Source organism: Homo sapiens, chromosome 3, assembly GCF_000001405.40.
Source record: "Homo sapiens chromosome 3, GRCh38.p14 Primary Assembly".
NCBI classification, from domain to species: Eukaryota; Metazoa; Chordata; class Mammalia; order Primates; family Hominidae; genus Homo; species Homo sapiens.
This window is the reverse complement of record NC_000003.12, coordinates 115237586-115256908: the sequence shown is the minus strand read 5'-3', so window position 1 is coordinate 115256908 and position 19323 is coordinate 115237586. Positions and strand designations below refer to the sequence as shown.

Below are 19323 nucleotides of genomic sequence, written 5' to 3'. Positions count from 1 at the left end.
GACTCTGCCCAATTTGCCAGTCTGTGTCTTTTAATTGAGACATTTAGTTCATTTACATTTAAGGTTAGTATTGTTATGTGTGACTTTGATCCTGTCATCATGATGGTAGCTGGTTATTTTGCATACTAGTTGATGCAGTTTCTTCATAGTGTCATTTGGTCTTTATATTTTGGTGCATTTTCGCAATGGCTGGTACCGGTATTTTTGTTTTGTTTTTCTATATTTAGTGCTTCTTTCAGGAGCTCTTACAAGGCAGGCCTGGTGATAACAAAATCCCTCAGCATTTGCTTGTCTGGAAATAATTTTATTTCTCCTTTGCTAATGAAGCTTAGTTTAGCTGGATATGAAATCCTGAGTTGAAAATTCTTTTCTTTAAGAATGCTGAATATTGGCCCCCAATCTCTTCTGGCTTGTAGATTTTCTGCTGAGAGGTCCTCTGTTAGTCTGATGGGCTTCCCTTTGTAGGTGACCTGGCATTTCTCTCTGGCTGCCCTTAACATTTTTTCCTTCATTTGGACCTTGGAGAATCTGATGATTACGTGTCTTGGGGTCGATCTTCTTGCGGAGTATCTTAGTGGTGTTCTCTGTATTGGTGTTCTCTGTATTTCCTGAATTTGCACGTTGGCCTGTCTTGATAGGTTGGGGAAGTTCTCTTGGATAATATCCTGAAGTGTGGTTTTCAGCTTGTTTCTATTCTCCCTGTCTCCCTCAGTTACTCCAGTCAATCATAGGTTCAGTCTTTTTATGAAGCCTCCCATATTTCTTGGAGGCTTTGTTCGTTCCTTTTCATTCCTTTGTCTCTAATCTTGTCTGCATGCCTTACTTCAGCAAGGTGGTCTTCAAACTCTGATATCCTTTCTCCTGCTTGGTCTACTTGGCTGTTGATACTTGTGTATGCTTCACAAAGTTTTTGTATTGTGTTTTTCAGCTCCATCAGTTTATTTATGTTCCTCTCTAAGCTGGTTATTCCAGTTAGCAGCTTCTCTAACCTTTTATCAAGGTTCTTAGCTTCTTCGCATTGGGTTAGAACATGCTCCTTTAGCGCAGCAGAGTTTTTTATTACCCATTTTCCGAAGACTACTTCTGTCAGTTCGTCCATCTCATCCTCCGTCCAGTTCTGCACCCTTGCTGGAGAGGCCTTGCAATCATTTGGAGGAGAAGAGGCATTCTGGCCTTTTGGGTTTTCCGCATTTTTTCGTTGATTCTTTCTCATCTTTGTGAGTTTGTCTAGTTTCGATCTTTGAGGCTGCTGACCCTTGGGTGGAGTTTTTGGGGGGATTTTTTGTTGTTGTTGATACTGTTGTTGTTGTTGCTTTCTGTTTGTTTGTTTTCTTGTTTTTCTTTCAATGGTCAGATCCCTCTTCTGCAGGGCTGTTGAGGTTTGCTGGGGGTTCACTTCAGGCCTTATTCATCTGGTTCGCTCCTGCGCCTGGAGATGTCAGTCAAGGAGGCTGGAGAACGGCAAAGATGGGTGGCGTGCTCCTTCTTCTCGGATCTCTGACCTGGAGGGGCACCAACCTGATGCCAGTATAATCGCTCCTGTATAGGGTGTCTGACAACCCCTGTGGGAGAGTCTCACCCAGTTGGGTGGCACGGGGAACAGGACCTGTTTAAGGAAGTACTTTGACTGTCCCTTGGTGGAGGGGGTGTGCTTCACTGCGGCGAAACCCACTCATCTGGTCCGCCCTGATTCCTCAGAACTGCCAAGAGGAAAGGCTGAGTCTGCTTGTCTGCAGATACTATGGCTACTCCTCCCCCTAGGGGCTCTGGCCCGGGGAGATCTGTGTCCTGTCCCTGAGCCTCTGGCTGGAGTTGCTGGAGTTCCTGCAGGGAAGCCCCGCCCAGTGAGGAAGGATGTGTCAGGGTCACGCCTGAAGAGGCACTCTGCCGCTCTGCCTCAGTCTGCCACAGCCAGTGTGTTGGGCTGTGGGGGACACCTCCTGGGGACCAAGCCGTCCAGCCTCCCTGGCTCCAGCAGGGGAAAAGCGCAGCCTGGAGCTATAGAGATGGATGCCGCCCCTCCCTGCCTCAAATCCCCCTGCGTGTTAGGCAGTTATGAGTCCCAGTGCTGGCTGCGGCCCCTCCCACAAGGAGCTGAAAGAGCTTAGACAGCAGTCAGCTGCAGCTGTGGTGTTGGTCGACCCTCCCCCTGGGAGCTCCGCCGACTTAGGCAGATTCTAGCTGAGAGGCTGTTGAGAATCTGCACGGCTCTGGGGTTGGGACCCCAGGCCCCGGTGGCATGGGTTCGCGAGTGGGATCTTTCGCTCTGTGGATTGCACCCTTCCGTGGAAAAAGCACGGTTTCCCCAGCTGGGTAGCACGCCTACCTTGGCTGGGGGGTGGGGACTCCTCTGCCCCGTGTGGCTCTCAGGAGAGCCGCCACACCATATTGCTCTTCCTTTCTCTCCATGGATCACGTCACCCGCCTAGTCAGTTCTGATGAGAGAACCTGGATACCTTGTTGCAGGTGAAGGATTCAGATGCTAATTATGGTTCTTTTCGATGGGCTCCACTGACCACCGCTGTTTCTAGTTGGCCATCTTGGCCCCACTCCTCCAGATCCAGCTTTTCCTGAAGTCATTTCCCTTGGAATTCCCAGTTAGTTGAGCCAGTAAATTCCCCGTTTTTCTTAACCCGACTGGAATTGAATTTATTGTCACTTGCAACTCAAAGATTCCTGGAAAACTTATCCTATTTGGTGAATCATCCCAAAGGATACTAACTTTCCTTTTTAACCTTAATTAACTGACAGAAAGTGTAATAATTCAGAAATCACATTTATGACTTTTACATGTGATTTTACGAGCATAAAATTTATCTCAATATGCTTTACTATTGGGAAGAAACCCACAAGTAGATAATGTGTGGATTCATTTGTTAATTTAGAGTGAAAGGAATACTATGTGTAAAACTGTTGATAACAATTCATGGGGAATAAGAATGAACATTAAGGTATGTTTATTAATTAGCACATTCGCCAATGGTTTTTTTCAACCCCTTTTACCTGACATCTCCTTAGAATACAAGCACATGTGAATACTCACCTCTCCCCCAGGTGTACGCAGTAAGGGATTAATCAGAATCCAAAAGAGATCAGTAATTCTACTTATCTGGCCTAAAAGATCCTGGGATACTATCAATCTCCTTTTGTAGTAGCATAAAGCCCACCATCTCAGTAAATCTACTGTTCATTACAGAGTGTTTTCTATGTGCCAGCCACCATGCTGAGAGCTTGATATGCCAAACATTTCATCGAAACCTCACAAGACCCTTTTATGAATCTTATTTATTACAGGTTAGGCAACTGAGCTTCCTGCAAATTAAGCATTTCGCTAAGGTCAGCTAGAAATGGAGACCTGGATTTTTAATCATGCCCATATGATTTCAAAATCTGTGACCTCAGCCACTACATTATTTTTCAGTTCATCATTTTCTCACAATCCCATCCTTTGTCCACCATCATGATTACCAATTGAGCTCAACAGACTTTGGAGCCAACTAACTCAATTCAATTTCCTGAGGTTCTAGCCCTGTTCTTCCCCACACTGCCCTCTTTCCTCACCTCAGCGCCAGGATTCCCCAACTCCCCAGGTCTCCAGGATTCATCTCAGGAAGGAACTACCCAGGGAGATTAAGCCTCAGTGCGGGAAAAGGAAAAGAGAGCATACAAGGAATCCTCAAGTTCTTTTCAACTGGTATGTCCTAAAATACATTCTTTAAACCATCTTCCTCTTTAAACCAACTTCTCCTCCAAAACAGGTAGCAAATCTCAAGTTACTGGGACAGCTTCCTCAAATGTGATATCCAATGAATTGCTAACTTCTTCAGATTCCTCCTTCAAGATTATTCCTTTCTAATTCTACTTATAATATTTATTGTATTACCTTCTCTCCTTATTGTAAGTTCTTCCTACCCTGTTTCTCTGTCTCTGATTTCTCACTTTCTGTTTCCTCTTGAAGAGTAAACTAAAAGCTCCTTTTTATCACATTACTTACCAACTCAAAAATTTTATCTGCTCCCATTATTTGCTGAGTAGGCTCAAAAATTTTAACATAGCTTCTAAGGACTTGCATGAACTGGTCTCTGCCTACATTTCCCTCCCTTTATCCTTCCACTTTCTACATGTGCTATTCTAAAGTATCCTGGTTGCTGGCCCCTGAACTCAGCTTGCTTTCTCAACTTCATGATCCTGTTCACATGTTTCCTCAGTGTGAGATATGTTTTCACTTGTCTTTGCCCACAGTGATCCTATTTTATTCTTAGAGACCCAGATCACATTCCATTTGTTCTGAAACCCCAAGAAGAAATTGCTCCTCTTCCTCTGAAGACCTGAGGAGCTTACTGACATCACTATATCCTTGATATTTATCCTATATTGCCTTGTACTGCAGCTATGGGAGTGGGTGTTTCATTCCTTTCACCAGGTATTACATTTTAAAGAGCAGGACTTATAACTTACACATCTTTACGCCCCACCACAACACCTGGCCTAGTGCATTGGCTATAAGTGATACTGACAGATGTACTAACTGAGCAAATGAAATATATAAATAGGTAAAAATGCTATGGTAGTCAGCATCTAAGATGGCCCCAAGGATTCTAGCCTCCTGATATTCATGTTTTTGTATAGTCTCCTTCCACACTGAATAACCAATAAAATATTGCAAAAATGATAGAATGTGACTTCCAAGGTGAAGTCATTAAAGTTACTGTGGCATTCCCATCTTATGGAGTGGTTCACATGGTGGGAAACTGAGGCCTCCCACTAACAGCCAGCACCAACTTGGTTACCTGAGGGAGTCGTCGCAGAAGTGGATCCTTCAGTCTCAGGCAAATCTTCAGATGGCTGCAACAACAGGTGACATCTTTACTACAGTCTTTTGAGAGACCCTGAGCCAGAATCACTCAGCTACAAGTTGCCAGAGATAATGTATGTCTGTTATTATTTTAAGAATCTAAATTTTAGAGTAATTTGTTACACAGCAGTCAACAATTAATACAGAAGCCCATTGTAATAGCTATAACCACAAGCATTAAAAAGTTCAAAAAACTTCCACTGGGTTTGAGGGAAAAAAATAAAAATGAGACATTATAAAGAGATAAAACACTTCAAAAAATTGAATGCCTGAGTTGTGCATGTAAGGTATTTCTGTTGCTAGAAGACTATGAAAGATTGTTTTCAGTCTCCAGGTCTCTGTGCATGTTTCTGATGTGTGAGTCATAATCTCTAGGTATGTTTGTAATCTTAATGATCAAGCATACAATAAGTATTAATAACTATCATTTCCTTAGCATTCCTATGTGCTAGAAACTGTTCTAAGACCTTTCCAACAACCCTACAATACTGGTACTCCTATTATTCCCATCTTGCAGAAAAGGTTACTGAGGCCTACAGCAATTAATTAACTTGCTCAAGGTTTCAGAGGTGGTAGTTGGTGGACTGATTTTGCATGCACACAGCCTGGATTTACAGCCCACACTCTGAATCACTATGCTACATGAAACATCAGGCTTCCTTTAAGAATTGACATTATATCCAACATTTCACAGAAATCATTTTAAGTATTAAAAATTAAGTTTATTTAAAATCAGTGAGTATAACTAATTCATAGATTGGCCCCAGCAACACTCACTTGGTTAAAAGATGTTCTTACCTTGCTTCTTTTGATAGTTAAAACCGTGAAGTAAAGCTGAAAGCTGAGAAGCTATCTTATTCTGTACACTGTCAAGAGACGCTCTTAAACTCTTGAGTATTTTTGCCTCCAGCCTAGTGGGATTTGAAACATCTTTTTGACTCAAGTTGGGTGCATCAGACAGTGATGTATGAATCCAGACTGCAATTGTTGATTTTTCAAGTATGATAAAATCCATTTTACTTTTTGTTGAAGTCTAGAAGGAACATGGCAAATAAAAAGAAAAGTATAAGAGATATTTTCATTCAGACTGTTTTCAAGAGATGCTGTTCAAAATCTTGAGGAAGATATGAAAACCTATAAGACCCTATCCCCAAGAGAGTATATTTCCCTCCCCTTCCCTCCATCCGTACTCTCCTAAGTTAACTAGTTTATGTCTCTTTCCGTATTTTTCCCTATGTCCATATAAATATTTGCAAACAGAAGTACTACATATATATATATATATACACACACATACACAAAGTGTTTTGTGGTGACTGTCATTACTTGTTTTATAAAAATGAGATCTCAAACACTACCTATTACCTTTCAACTGAATATTAATCCTTACTAATATATTTTATAGACATTCCATTAGATCAATAGATAAAAGAGTTAACTCAGTCCTGATAAAAACTGCATAATGGTACACAGCTAGACGTTAGTTTATTCTACCATTATTCTATTAATGATCATTCAACTTTTCTGCAGAAACTTTTGCCACTACAGAAAGCACCAGAGTTAAACATACATATAAGCTACATTCTACTTTTCTTTCTGCAGGATGAATCTCCCTAATAGAGTCATTGGGTCATGGATATATGTTTTTAAATTGTAACAGAAATTAATAGATTATTTTTTATAGCAAGGTTATAATACTTCACATTGTCAGATACCACAGCAATCCATGAGGATGTCAGCTTCCTTACATCCTTGCTAGGACTAGATCTTCAATTCTGTAGTTTTTGCTACTCTGATGAATAGAAAATTATATCTTCTTGTTTTAATTTTATTTTCCTATTAATATGGTAAAGCATTTTTGTACATGTTTACAGACCACTTAGATTTTTATCTTCTCATAATTACTTAATAATATCATTGCTCCATTTTACTTTCTTATAGGCCTTTTTCTTATCAATATATAGAATGAAATTGAATTAGCATTTTGTCTGTCATTTGGGCTGCAAATAATTATGTCCAGTTAATCCTTTGGTTTTTATTTAGCTTATGTTGTCTATCTAATACCAGCCAAACACTTTTATTTTTATGAGTCAAATGTATCCATTTTTTTCACTTATGGTTTCTGAGTTTGATTTCTGAGAGAAGGTCCTGCAAACTCAAGATTATACAATAGTTTTCTAAATATTTCACCATTTTGCCTGGGTCACATTCCTTGTTTTTCAGTATGATGGAGAGAAATATTGTTCTACCATATTTTGGAATCCAGCGCTGGGGATAAGGAGTTTCATGCTAGTTTTACTTTTCTTTACAAATAAATTAGAGGTGTGTTCGTTTGTGTGTGTGGAGGGGATTGTTTTGTTTTTTAACTATACTGCCTGAAAATGTGAAAATTTTTCTCTTTATCTTTGTAATTCAATAATTCCACCAATGTATATCTAGGTTTATATCTATTTTCATTAATCCTACCTGGGCTTCAATGCCTTTTAAATTTATAGACTTTATTTTAAAAATCTATTAATTTTAAAATTTTCAATTCTCCTTCATAGGTTTGTTTTCCTTCTCCTTCCCATTGGTTACGTGTTGACTTTCTGGCTGTTTACTCCACGTTTCTGAGCTTTGCATTCATGATTTCTCTCTGTGTTTTCACTCTGTTGAGAGAGATGTCCTTCACTGCCTCTTCCAAGTCACAAATTCACTTTTAATAAGTAACTATTTGCTTTTCTTGTCAACAATTTTTAAAATATTTTAATTTCATAAAGCATTGTTTGTAGTCTTGTCACATCTCTTAGAGTTTTATTATCTTTGTTTTCTTTTTTTTTTAATACTTTAAGTTCTAGGGTACATGTGCACAATGTGCAGGTTTGTTATATATGTATGCATGTGCCATGTTGGTGTGCTGCACCCATTAACTCGTCATTTACATTAGGTATATCTCCTAATGCTATCCCTCCCCCCTCCCCCTCCCCCCTCCCCCCACCCCACAACAGGCCCTGGTGCGTGATGTTCCCCTTCCTGTGTCCAAGTGTTCTCATTGTTCAATTCCCACCTATGAATGAGAACATGCGGTGTTTGTTTTTTTGTCTCTGCGATAGTTTGCTGAGAATGATGGTTTCCAGCTTCACATCTTTGTTTTCAAAAGCATCTGTGAACTCTTCCATCCACTTCAGTGAAAGTCATCTGTCACAGAGCTTACCTAGGAATCTTTCTGTGAGTGCCTTCTAGTGAAGATCATTTTTGTTTTTCCCTGCTAATGGTTTCATGCCTCTTTAGCAGCCACACAGATCTAGCTGTCCATGTGTCTTAACCAGAGACAGACCACCAAGTGGGGGCTTGATTTAGATTTGGAGGCAAACAAACACCACTCATTACAGAATCCTTTTAGAAGTAACCTCTTCTGGCTCATTTTGTTTCCAAAAAGAAGGATATTACAAATAATTTTAAGGTTTAAAGGCAATTTATTATTATTTCAATGTGGTTTGGGGACTCACAAGTTCTAAAATGATATAAATGTTGATAAGAGAGTTACATTTAGTATCTAGCTATTAGTCAGTAGAAGGTAGTAAGACTAGTTGAGTCACTGTGGCTCATGTACACAATGAATTAATGTCACTAGCTCCGGATATTGCTCAAACTGACCCTTTTCACTTATAAAATACTTCTAACCAAATGAGAAAAAAGTTAAAAGCAACCTGATGACATTTTAAAAAAAGGAAAAGGAATTATCAAATTTTATCTTCACGGTGTGTTTTTAGAGAAGAATTTTATTTCTTTTTTAAAGTGCCCTCTAACCCTGTCTTTACTAAAATACAAAAAATTAGCTGGGCATGGTGACATGCACCTGTAGTCCCAGCTACTCAGGAGGCTGAGGAAGAGGAATTGCTTGAACCCGGGAGGCGGAGGTTGCAGTGAGCCGAGATCACGCCACTACACTCCAGCCTGGGTGACGGAATAAGACTCCATCTCAAAAGATAAATAAATGAATAAAAATAAATAAATAAATTGCCCTCTAATAGCCAATGAAGGATTGGTATTCAAAAGAAAAGGAAACAATGAAGAAAAGTATCTCAACCTGGAAAAATTTGCCAGTCCCTGCCATACAGGAAATTGTAGCCTGGCATTGGTCTGTGTGATCATTCCAGTTCCAAATTGGAGCATTAGGCTGCATTGTGCATTATCTCCCAGTATGCTAAGAAACCAATTATGGTAAATAATATTGCCTTAAGGGATTTTTCAGAGCCCCTGAAAAAAGATCAATGCAATAACCTAGGACCTTAAATGTCAATATTTAGTTGTAGGAAGCAAACAATGTTCAAAAACATAGTTTTATTTAATATTATTTTTCAAAACATATTAAACAATTAACATTTTACAACAATTTTTTGTGATCCTTTGGTGTACAGCAAAAGGATAAGCAGCAGGATGAAGAATACAGCAGGATAAGCAATAAAATAAAAATACCAAATATTTGCTAAAATAATACTTTAAGAAAAACATAAGGCTCTTATCATATCAATCCAAATAGACTTATTTAACCGACAACCTTTAATATAACTATCAATCAGATGGGTTGGATATTCAGTTCTTCCATTTCCCACACACTGCAAAAAGCTACACATTTCTCTGACTTGCATAAATAATAAATTGTCCTTTGTACAGAGATGAACCTTTATTGTTCGATCCCTCAATCAAAATGGAAAACCATATCCCCAGGCAAGAAAGAGGTGCACTTCAGGAGATATGGGATTTAAAACAAAATTAATGTTGCAAAATAAGAAAGACAAGATTGAAATATATATCAGGACAATAATATCTAAATAATATTAGCAAGGGATCCTGTTTAAAAAAAAAAAGAAGCTATTTAAAGCTTATGTGCAGAACTCACCACAGGCAGCATTTCCTCAAAGAAAGGGGAAAAGCTTGATCTAGGCAGGGCACTAACCCTAATGGTGAAAGCTCTGGACTCTGTTTCTTATTATGCCACTGAAATTGCTGTGAAGATCTGAGCCACACACTGTGTCTGTTGTTGGGTCCTAAATATTTTTCATTCAAGCCTTCTCAATATTCATCCACAGAATCTATGTCATAATGAGCCCAGAAGCATAAACACTTCAATAGCAGAGTTACCAATAGAGGATATCCAACAAATAGAGCCTATTTCTTAAATTTTCATTACGCCAAGAACAACAGAAGATTTCTGGAAAGCATGAGGTAACTATTGGCCTATTTAAGAAGCTTCTTTGTTGATGGAAACATGGATAGTCCTTCTCTGCCTGTCTTCTTAATTGCCTGCTTTCCTCTGCAGCCTTAAATAGGAAATGGGCTGAAAAAATTGGCAAATAAGAGGACACACACAGCTTCATTTCCAAGAGTTGAACATTTTGGAAGCGATTAGGAAAGGCCTTCAGGTTTTCTCTTGGACAGGTATTGTTCCAGGATTTTGAAGATATAAGATACAACTCAAATATCCACACCCTCATCCATTTTACTTTGGCATCGAGGCAAAGGTCTTATGACATTGCATTTCCTCTAATTCTCAATGGTGTGTGAGGCCAAAGCTGTAATATCCAAGCCCAGGTTTCAGCTGGAAGGTGAAAATGAAGTGAGTGAGCTTTTTAGCTTCTTTGGTTTTAGGCCATTCAGTATACTTTGTTGAAGTGAAGGACTTCTCTTAAATTTATAAGACAATGTATATCCAGCCAAATCTGTCTTTGGAGTTTGTGTTCAAAGCTCCAGCAATAACAATATGTTACTTATCCTTGATTTGTCTCCTCTGTGGAAAAGTTTTTGGAGACTTTCTAGATGAGAATGGCAAGTAAAGATCTGGATATAGAAAATCTTGGTCTCTTGTCCAAATACTATCATAATGCTGGTCTTAGTAGCATAAAGGCATAGCCACTTGCTTATCACTTTGGTCTGACTCCGCTGCCACAAAAAGTACAAACTACACTGTCAACAGTTGAGCAATATAAATCCTCTATGAGTTGTGGGTTGAGTCTACTATTGTCTTTGCAGTGAAACTAGTGGGCATGTATTAAATAGTTTCTACCTGGATGGAGAATCACTCTGTCTCTGCACCTTTTGCAGAGTGGGTAGACTTCCAGGGGTGATGTTTTTCGGCTAAGTCAACGAGACTTAAAACCATGAAACCTTAAAAAACCATGCCAGCATTCAGTTTAGAAAAGGGCCAGGCTCAAGAGGTCAACATTAGTGTCAATATCAGAATTCACTCCTCACAAGTTCTGGAGATCCAATGACCTCTACCAACCTAAGCTGATTCCAATATGACTTGTAAGATCTAGTTAGAACAAGGATTTTCAGATCCTTAAAGTAATGTGAACTCCTTAAGGCAACCTCCAACCTTTCTTTATCTTTTGAGGATGAGTGACTCATGTACAACTTGAGCCAGGAGAATCTGCTGGATTAGTTGTGGGTTCTATGTGCATTACTCATACCCGGCCCTGCCAACTACCACCACCAACTCTGTGGACCATGTCTTATGTCTGGAGCCATGAAACTTTATCTTCTGGGGGTTAGTGAAGCCTCTGTAATTTTTGCATCACAGTATATGTTTAACTAAAACCACGGTGGAAAATCCTGCACCTTTTTAAGTTGTACAGAATATATGATAGCCTTCTTTTTTATTTATTTATTATTATTATTGTTATTTATTTATTTATTTACTTACTTATTTTTGAGACAGAGTTCCGCTCTTGTTGCTCAGTCTGGAGTGCAGTGGCGTGATCTTGGCTCATTGCAACCTCCACTTCCCAGGTTCAAGCCATTCTCCTGCCTCAGCCTCCCAAGTAGCTGGGATTACAGGAGACTGCCACCACGCCTGGCTAATTTTTTATATTTTTAGTAGAGATGGGGTTTCATCAGTTAGCCAGGCTGGTCACAAACTCCTGACCTCAGGTGATCCAGCCACCTCGGCCTCCCAAAGTGCTGGGATTACAGGCGTGAGCCACCATGCCCTACCATATGATAGCCTCCTTGACAACAGTAGGACCTCCTAAGAAAATGGTCACATTAGCTAACAATGTCCCCACAATCAACTTAACCTTTTCCAGAAAATCATATAATTTTCTAACAAATAGAAAATTTCTCATACCACTTTCTGCACCTGTTAATTTTTTTTTTTTAATTTTAGATGCAGTGGATACATGTGCAGGCTTCTTATATGGGTATATTTTGTGATGCTGAAGTTTGGGCTTCTATTGATCCCATCAGCCAAATAATGAACATAGTGTCCAATAGGTGCTTTTTAAACCACTGCATCTCCCCCCTTTTGTAGTCCCCACTGTCTATGATTCCCATCTTTATGCCCATGTGTACCTACTATTTAGCTTCCACTTATACAATAGAGCATGCAGTATTTGGCTTTCTGTTTCTGCATTAATTCGCTTAGGATAACAACCTCCAGCTGCACCCATGTTGCTGCAAAGAACCCAATTTCATTATTTTTCATGGCTGCATAATATTCTTTGGTATACATGTACCATATTTTATTTTCCCAATCCACTTTTGATGGGCATCTAGGTTGTTTACGTTTGCTTTTTACAACAGCAATAGTCTTTGCTATTGTAAAACGTTTGCTTTTTACATTTGCTTTTTATAATAGCAAAGACTACTGCTATTGTAAAAAGTGATGCAATAAACATACAAGTGCAGATGTCTTTTTGGTAGAATGATTTCTTTTCCTTTGGGTATATACCCAGTAATGGGACAACTGGGTGGAATAGTAATCCTATTCTTAGTTCTTTGAGAAATCTCCAAACTGCTTTCCACAGTGGCTTAACTAATTCACCCTCTCACCAAGAGAGTATGAGTCCCATTTTCTCCATAACCTCACCAATGTTTGTTATTTTTAACTTCTTAATAACAGCCATTCTGACTCCACTAGTTTGTTGTTTTTTTTTTTTTTTTTTTTTTTTTTGAGATGGAGTCTGGCTTTGTCGCCCAGGTTGGAGTGCAGTGGCGTGATCTTGGCTCACTGCAAGCTCCGCCTCCCAGATTCACGCCATTCTCCTGCCTCAGCCTCCCGAGTAGCTGGGACTACAGGCGCCTGCCACCACGCCCAACTAATTTTTTGTATTTTTTTTTAGTAGAGACGGGGTTTCACCATGTTAGCCAGGATGGTCTCGATCTCCTGACCTCGTGATCCACCCTCCTCGGCCTCCCAGAGTGCTGGGATTACAGGCATGGGTCACCGCGCCCAGCCTCCCCTAGTTAGTCTTAAATGCAGATTATATCCCCAAATTTCCATCACTGAACGTCCAATGTTTTTACAACTCCAATCTAAAAGTTGCTGGAGGGAAGCCATCATCCCCTCCACCAAGTAGAATTTCTAGGAAAGTCAACTCCAACTTTCCCTCAAGTTAATAATTAGAGGACTAACATGCCCTTTCTCCCTTATGGCAATTTGCTATGGTCTCCAAGTACAAGTTTTCTTCAGCCCAGTCTGGTAGTTCTTCATCCTGCTCCCAAAAACTTGGATATTATGGCTTCTTTTACTTTCTTGCTTCCTAGGAGACTCCAAAAAGAAGCTCCTAGCATTATTAATTCTTCAGATTCTAAGGGTGGAGATCAATGTTTGCAAGACTTTGCTACATTGCACATTTCTTTCCATTAGCCACCCACAATAACAGTCCCAAAGTCTCCTTTTTCCTCATTACTCGGCTTCCAAGTCTATTGGCCAGCCCTGTCATTATTTTCTGGCCAAAGCTTGGGCTTTCTTAGCCTCTCTTGAAGATATGCATATCCCTGCTAAGCCTTCTAAGGAAGCTTTAGGGTCACAATGTTACAATCATTCTCTTGGGCATCACCAGGAGAAACAATTGCTCCTGGCATTACATATTCTCACTTCCCCATATGGGTGCTCCTCCTCTGAATACTGACACAGGTATAAACCTATTACTTTCCTTTCAGTTAGAGTGCTTCTTTTAGACTACAAAGGTGCCTTTCAGGGCACTGTAGTAGAGTCCTTTGCTATTTCTCAGCAACTTCCCAGCCCAGATCTTCTAGGGGCTTTGCAGCAAGGCCTTGTGGCAAACTTAGTTGTCCCAATACCTGCTCTCCCTTTCCCTTTCTTCCATAGCAGTGGTTTAATCTGAGTACATGGCTACCTAATTTTTATTTTTGATTTTTAGGAAGAGGATCTCACTCTCTCACCAAGGCTGGAGTGCCATGGTGTGTTCATAGCTCATGGCAGCCTTGAACTCCTGGACTTAAGTGATCCTCTTGCCTCAGTCTCCCAAAGCTCTGGGGTTATAGATATAAGCCACCATGCCTGACCCCTGGCTACCTAATTAAAGACCTTCTTAAGACTCGATTCCAGCTGAATGGGTTAATGTTACTGACAAGTGCAATGTGAAAGAAAGTAATATGTGTCACTTTCAGGACTTTTTTTAAAAAACAATTAAATATGCAATGCCCTGATTTCTTTTCTCCTTACCATTTGCTATCTGAAAGATGGAGAGAAATAAAACTGCTCTCTTGGACTGAGAGATGGGAGCTCCAGATTGAGGTTGGCAGAGCCACCCTACCACTCTGGACTGTTACATGAGAGAGAAATAAGCTCTGTTTTGTTTAAACCACTGCATTTTAAGCTTTATTAGTGACAGCAGTTTTAGTCTGTATCACAGCTAGTTCACCTCTCATTTATCATATATATATATATAAATATATTTTTTTCCTGAAATCTCATAGGTTGTAGTTTTCCAAGATAAATAAGGAAATTCAACTCTAATAATAATTCTTGATAATATAATTCTATCATAAAGCCTCTAGAAGGAGACTAATAATAGCTTTATAACCCTCTGTGGTCAACAGAGACACAGCCAACGCTGCTTTTAACTATTTTTATCTCTATTCTGCATTTCAAACTCAAGAAGTTTTTAAGAACCCCATATTCTTATTTTACATCTGATCTAATTTAATATCTGTTCTGTGGCAGCAGCACTATCCAGGAGTTTTCTTCACTAGATGTGATTATCTGAAGAAAAATAACTATGGCTCCCATTAAAAGAAATGTAGGCATGACTCCCAATCATACATTCCCCAAACAAAATATGAGAAGAAGAATTTTCCAAACAGTTATGAAAATTTTCCCCACAGAGCTTCTAAATTGTTCCTTTGCATCTCAGGCTGGGTAGTCAGGTTGACCCCCAAAGGGAGACAGCTGCAGTGTTGTTCTGTCCACTGGTGATAAGGGATGATATTTTCCCTCTATGGGTTAATAAAACAGTGTTAACCACATACTCTCAACTGAAGTAATAATCTATCTCAAGAAAAATGAGTTCATGGCTCTTTATCCTTTCTACTTTCTTCCTAGAGAGTCCTATAGCAGCACATCATGTCAAATAAGTCATCTCAAAAGGGACCAATAACAACTTTTGGGCAGGTCCTTCTGGAAGTGAAAGAAGAAAATATGAGGGGACTTTTATAGCAGTCATGATCCAGGGACTATTATGACGGCAACTCCTCAGGTACATATACATATTCCCCTAAAATATTCTAGAGGACTCTAAGAGCCAGTTTGAGAATCACTAGTCTAGGGTCTACAGATTATCACTTTCATCAACATCATCATCATCACCATTATCGTCAATCGAACATTACCGTTAAACATTGTGTGAATCTCAAACTGTCTGTATTAGGAATTGTGATTGGAGACAGAGAGAAAGAATAATCCCTTACCAAGTAATTTCAAAGCAGAGAAAATGAAATGAAAATTTGTTCTACATATCTCAACATCTGTCTTCAAAATTTAAGATGCCTTCTAGGAACATGCTAATATCCTTTCATCTCTCTTATCAACTTACTTATTATCTCATAGCAAGAACTTGGAGTTCTTTATGTCATTGCACATATAATTCTATAGAAGTCACTCCTCTCTTTTCATGTTCTTCCCTCCTATTGCCTCCAACACCATCTGTATTGTACAAGTAGTATCCTATAGATTGAGCTGAAACACACCTTTCTGTTTCTGTGCTGTTCAAGCTATACCAATAAAAACCAATACACATAGATTCCAATATGCTTCACAATCTATCATACATATGCCATTTTACTAAACACACAGAGTAAATGGAAGTATAAGTGGTACTTTTTAGCACTGAGTACAGGGTAACAACAATTTTTGTCCTTTTGTTCCTTGTGTTATGGCTGACACAAGACATAGATAAATTAGTACTTCTCAGAGTGATAAGACACGTTAGGGTCATTTTGGAGAGAATACAACCATGTCAGTTCACTGTACCTCTTTCATTGCTATTAAACACTAAGCCTTTGGAAGCAGAAGGGTTTAGTTTTGTTTTGTTTACTGTTTTGATGTACACTCCTTTCTGATTTAATTGCCCTAGCCTAATCATTCTAATAAGATGTTCCAATGGATAAGAGACTTGTGAAACCAGTAACTTCACTAACACCACAATTGTTATTGTATCCAGTCTTATTACCATTTTCCCTTAAAGTCAACTGATACATAATCAACTCCATAAAATACATGAGAATCTATATATTAACGCTCATTCTTACAAACGTACAGTCTTTTTGTATTATTCACCCAAGGAGCAATTATTGAGCATTTATCATGCACCCCTTCTCTCGTACCAAGCAATATACTCTGCTAGAATACAGAAATGCTGTATATATTTGGTAATACCAAAGCAGTCTCATCAGACCTCTCTCAGGATCTTTTGTTCAGCTCCTTTTCAATTCAGTTGCATCTGAACAGTTCACTAGATGATACCTGAAGAGAAAATAAAAACATAAAATTTATTTGTTTGAATTGTTCTCATAGTTGGGTTTATGTAACATAAAAAGTAATGATCCTAAATAATGTGTATTTTAATACACTATGATGTTGAAAGGCTCGATTCTATGCTGAGACACATAGGACTAGAATATAAAGTGTTTCCGGTAGAAAAATGAAGAGAGAGACAGAACATTGTTTTGCTGCTTTTAAATAAGCCACGCAAATAGCTCAGTCTAAAGGCTGTGTGTGTGTCAGTGTGAGATAATCCTGCCCTCTCCCTTCCTCTCTCCCACTTCTCCAGGGAAATGAGTCACACCTGCTCACTGCCCTTGATATGATGTTTGATATTCTGAATTCCCATCAGCCCTGCACAGCTAGGATGATGTCAGCACAGTTGACATTGTTAGATCCGTGCTCTGCGTACATCAACTCCCTGTCGCTCAGGCGTCAGCTGAATGTGGTGAAGGGGAGGAGGCATCATCATCTTAGCAACCAAGCCCACGTATCCAGGATCCAGAAATGGCATCTGGCACTTTGCTTTGGGGATTTCCAGCACTTCCCAGAATTTCAGCCAGATTAGAACACTTGCTCTGAATTAAAAAGAAATTACTCATCCTCTTCCCATCAGGATGTGTGTGCTTTTACAAAATTTTATATCAAAATGTTTGTCACCAAAGTATGTTTTACTGAAGTCCTCATCCCATTTTTCCTCAATTCCTCTGGGATATCCTTTATTGACTTTTAGAAATAATCTTGCTTCTATTTAAAAACAGAAAAGGTTAAATGAGACCCTTTTGTCATCCTTCCACCTCAAGTCAAAAATATATATAATGTGAACAATCAAGTTGTATGGAAAGTAGATAATTATGCTGATAATAATAATCTTCTAAGATGACTCCAGATAAAGTATGGCAGTATTTCTAGGTCTTGTTTTCAAATTATACCCATTTAACAAAAAATACAATAACACAATGAACTCAGACAGTTGCAATTCACATAGACATTTAATCATCTATTGATTATCTGGGAAAAAGGAAAGAGGGAGAACTTAGGGAAAAAACCTAAAAGGGTATTTGAAAGTGTTAGAGTAGAAGAACTATGGTAGTACCATGCCACCATGCCACAGCTGTCAGAAACCCCAACAATGGAGACTTAATGTCTACTTTTCCAGAGCAGTTTCTCCAAGTTATTGTGGGTATCTTGGCTGCTTCATATAAATGGTCCCAGTTGCTTTACAGCTATCTTATTGCTCCACTTACTTATTCCCAGAAACATTTCTGAGTACAATTCCTGTCTCCATAACACACGGAGTGAGGTGGGAGATTTAGGTATGTGCTGTGGTCAGAATATGTCCTCCAAAATTCTTGTGTTGGAAGTTTAATTTCCAATGCAACAGTGTTGGGAAGTTGGCCTTTTGGGAGGTGTTTAGGTGGTGAGGGCTTCTCCATCATGAATAGATTAAAGCCCTTATAAAAGAGACTTCAGAAGGTGTTCAGCTAACTTGCTTTCTTGCCCTTTTGCTTTCTGCCATGGGAGGACACAGCAAGAAGACCCTCACCAGACACTAAATTTTGGTGCCTTGATCTTGAACTTATCAGGCTCCAGACCTGTGAGAAAATAATTTTCTGTTCTACATAAATTACACAGTCTCAGGTATTCTGTTATAACAGCACAAAACAGACTAACACAGTAAGTAACCAGACAATGACAGTACTGGGTAATAAGTACTTCCATAAGAAATAAACCTAGGGTGCTGAGAGCAGGGAGAACCAGAGCCCAACTCAGCCTGGAGTTCAGACATGAGAAGTTCTCAGGGATGGCTTCCTTGAGGGAGTCTTCATAATTCTTCTCTCAATTATAATGCAAATGCTTTTTATAAATCCTGACACTTTGTCCATCAAACACTACTAAAAATTTTAATAAGCAGCTCTACTCAGTCTAGGCAGTTTATTTCTTTCCTGACATGCCTAAGGTACCCTGAACATCCACATCCCATAAAATGAGAAACAGATATTTCATTTGGCTTCTCGTAACAGTGAAAATGAGAAGAGTTCAGAGAGCTCTCTCTTTCAATCTCAAGATCGGAATGGGTGAGGGCTGGTGGCTATATACAACACTTTGTGGTCCCCCTTCCCCCAGTGAGTTACTTTCCATGCTGTACTGTAACTGCTTATTTGTTTGTCCTTCACCTTCAAGAAACCAAGCTTTTTGAAAGTATAATTCTTTATCTTATTTACCCCACAGTATTTCCCAGCTACCCCCAGTCAGACCTAGATCCTAGAACAGAGTAAACGTTCATTAGATTGTTCTGTTGAATAAATATTTTATGCTTTTGCATTTCTTCCAGATTTTAATCCTAACTTTGCCCCTACACTTTGGAGCAGCATTTCCAAGCTTTTTTTCATATATTAGCCATATGGAAAATGAAAGTATTTGTAAGGCACCCTTGGGTAAATGGGAGAGGCTGCTCCAGGCTGCAAGCTGTAAACCCCAGGCCCTGCCTGATCCCCTCAGAGCCCACCTTCCATACTACACTCATACGTTCCACAAAACATAGAGGATCTGTAGAAGGACATATCTGAAACTCATTCAGTACTCATCACTTGAGAAGCTCTTCTGGTTTAGATAAATTAAAAGGTGAGAATGAAACAGGTTAACTTTCTTCCACTTAGCTTTTTGTAACCTAGCTCTCCTTCCCAATATTTTGCAGTGT

At 39.2% G+C, this 19323-nt stretch overlaps 1 annotated feature.

Moving 5' to 3' along the window:
- Positions 16422 to 17621: an enhancer, noted in NCBI's record as "P300/CBP strongly-dependent group 1 enhancer chr3:114958135-114959334 (GRCh37/hg19 assembly coordinates)". NCBI's record gives its function as "activates an origin of replication core promoter dependent on BRD2, BRD4, P300/CBP, MED14 and CDK7 cofactors, with strong dependence on P300/CBP, by STARR-seq in HCT116 cells {active_cell/tissue: HCT116}" and the evidence as "EXISTENCE:reporter gene assay evidence [ECO:0000049][PMID:35650434]".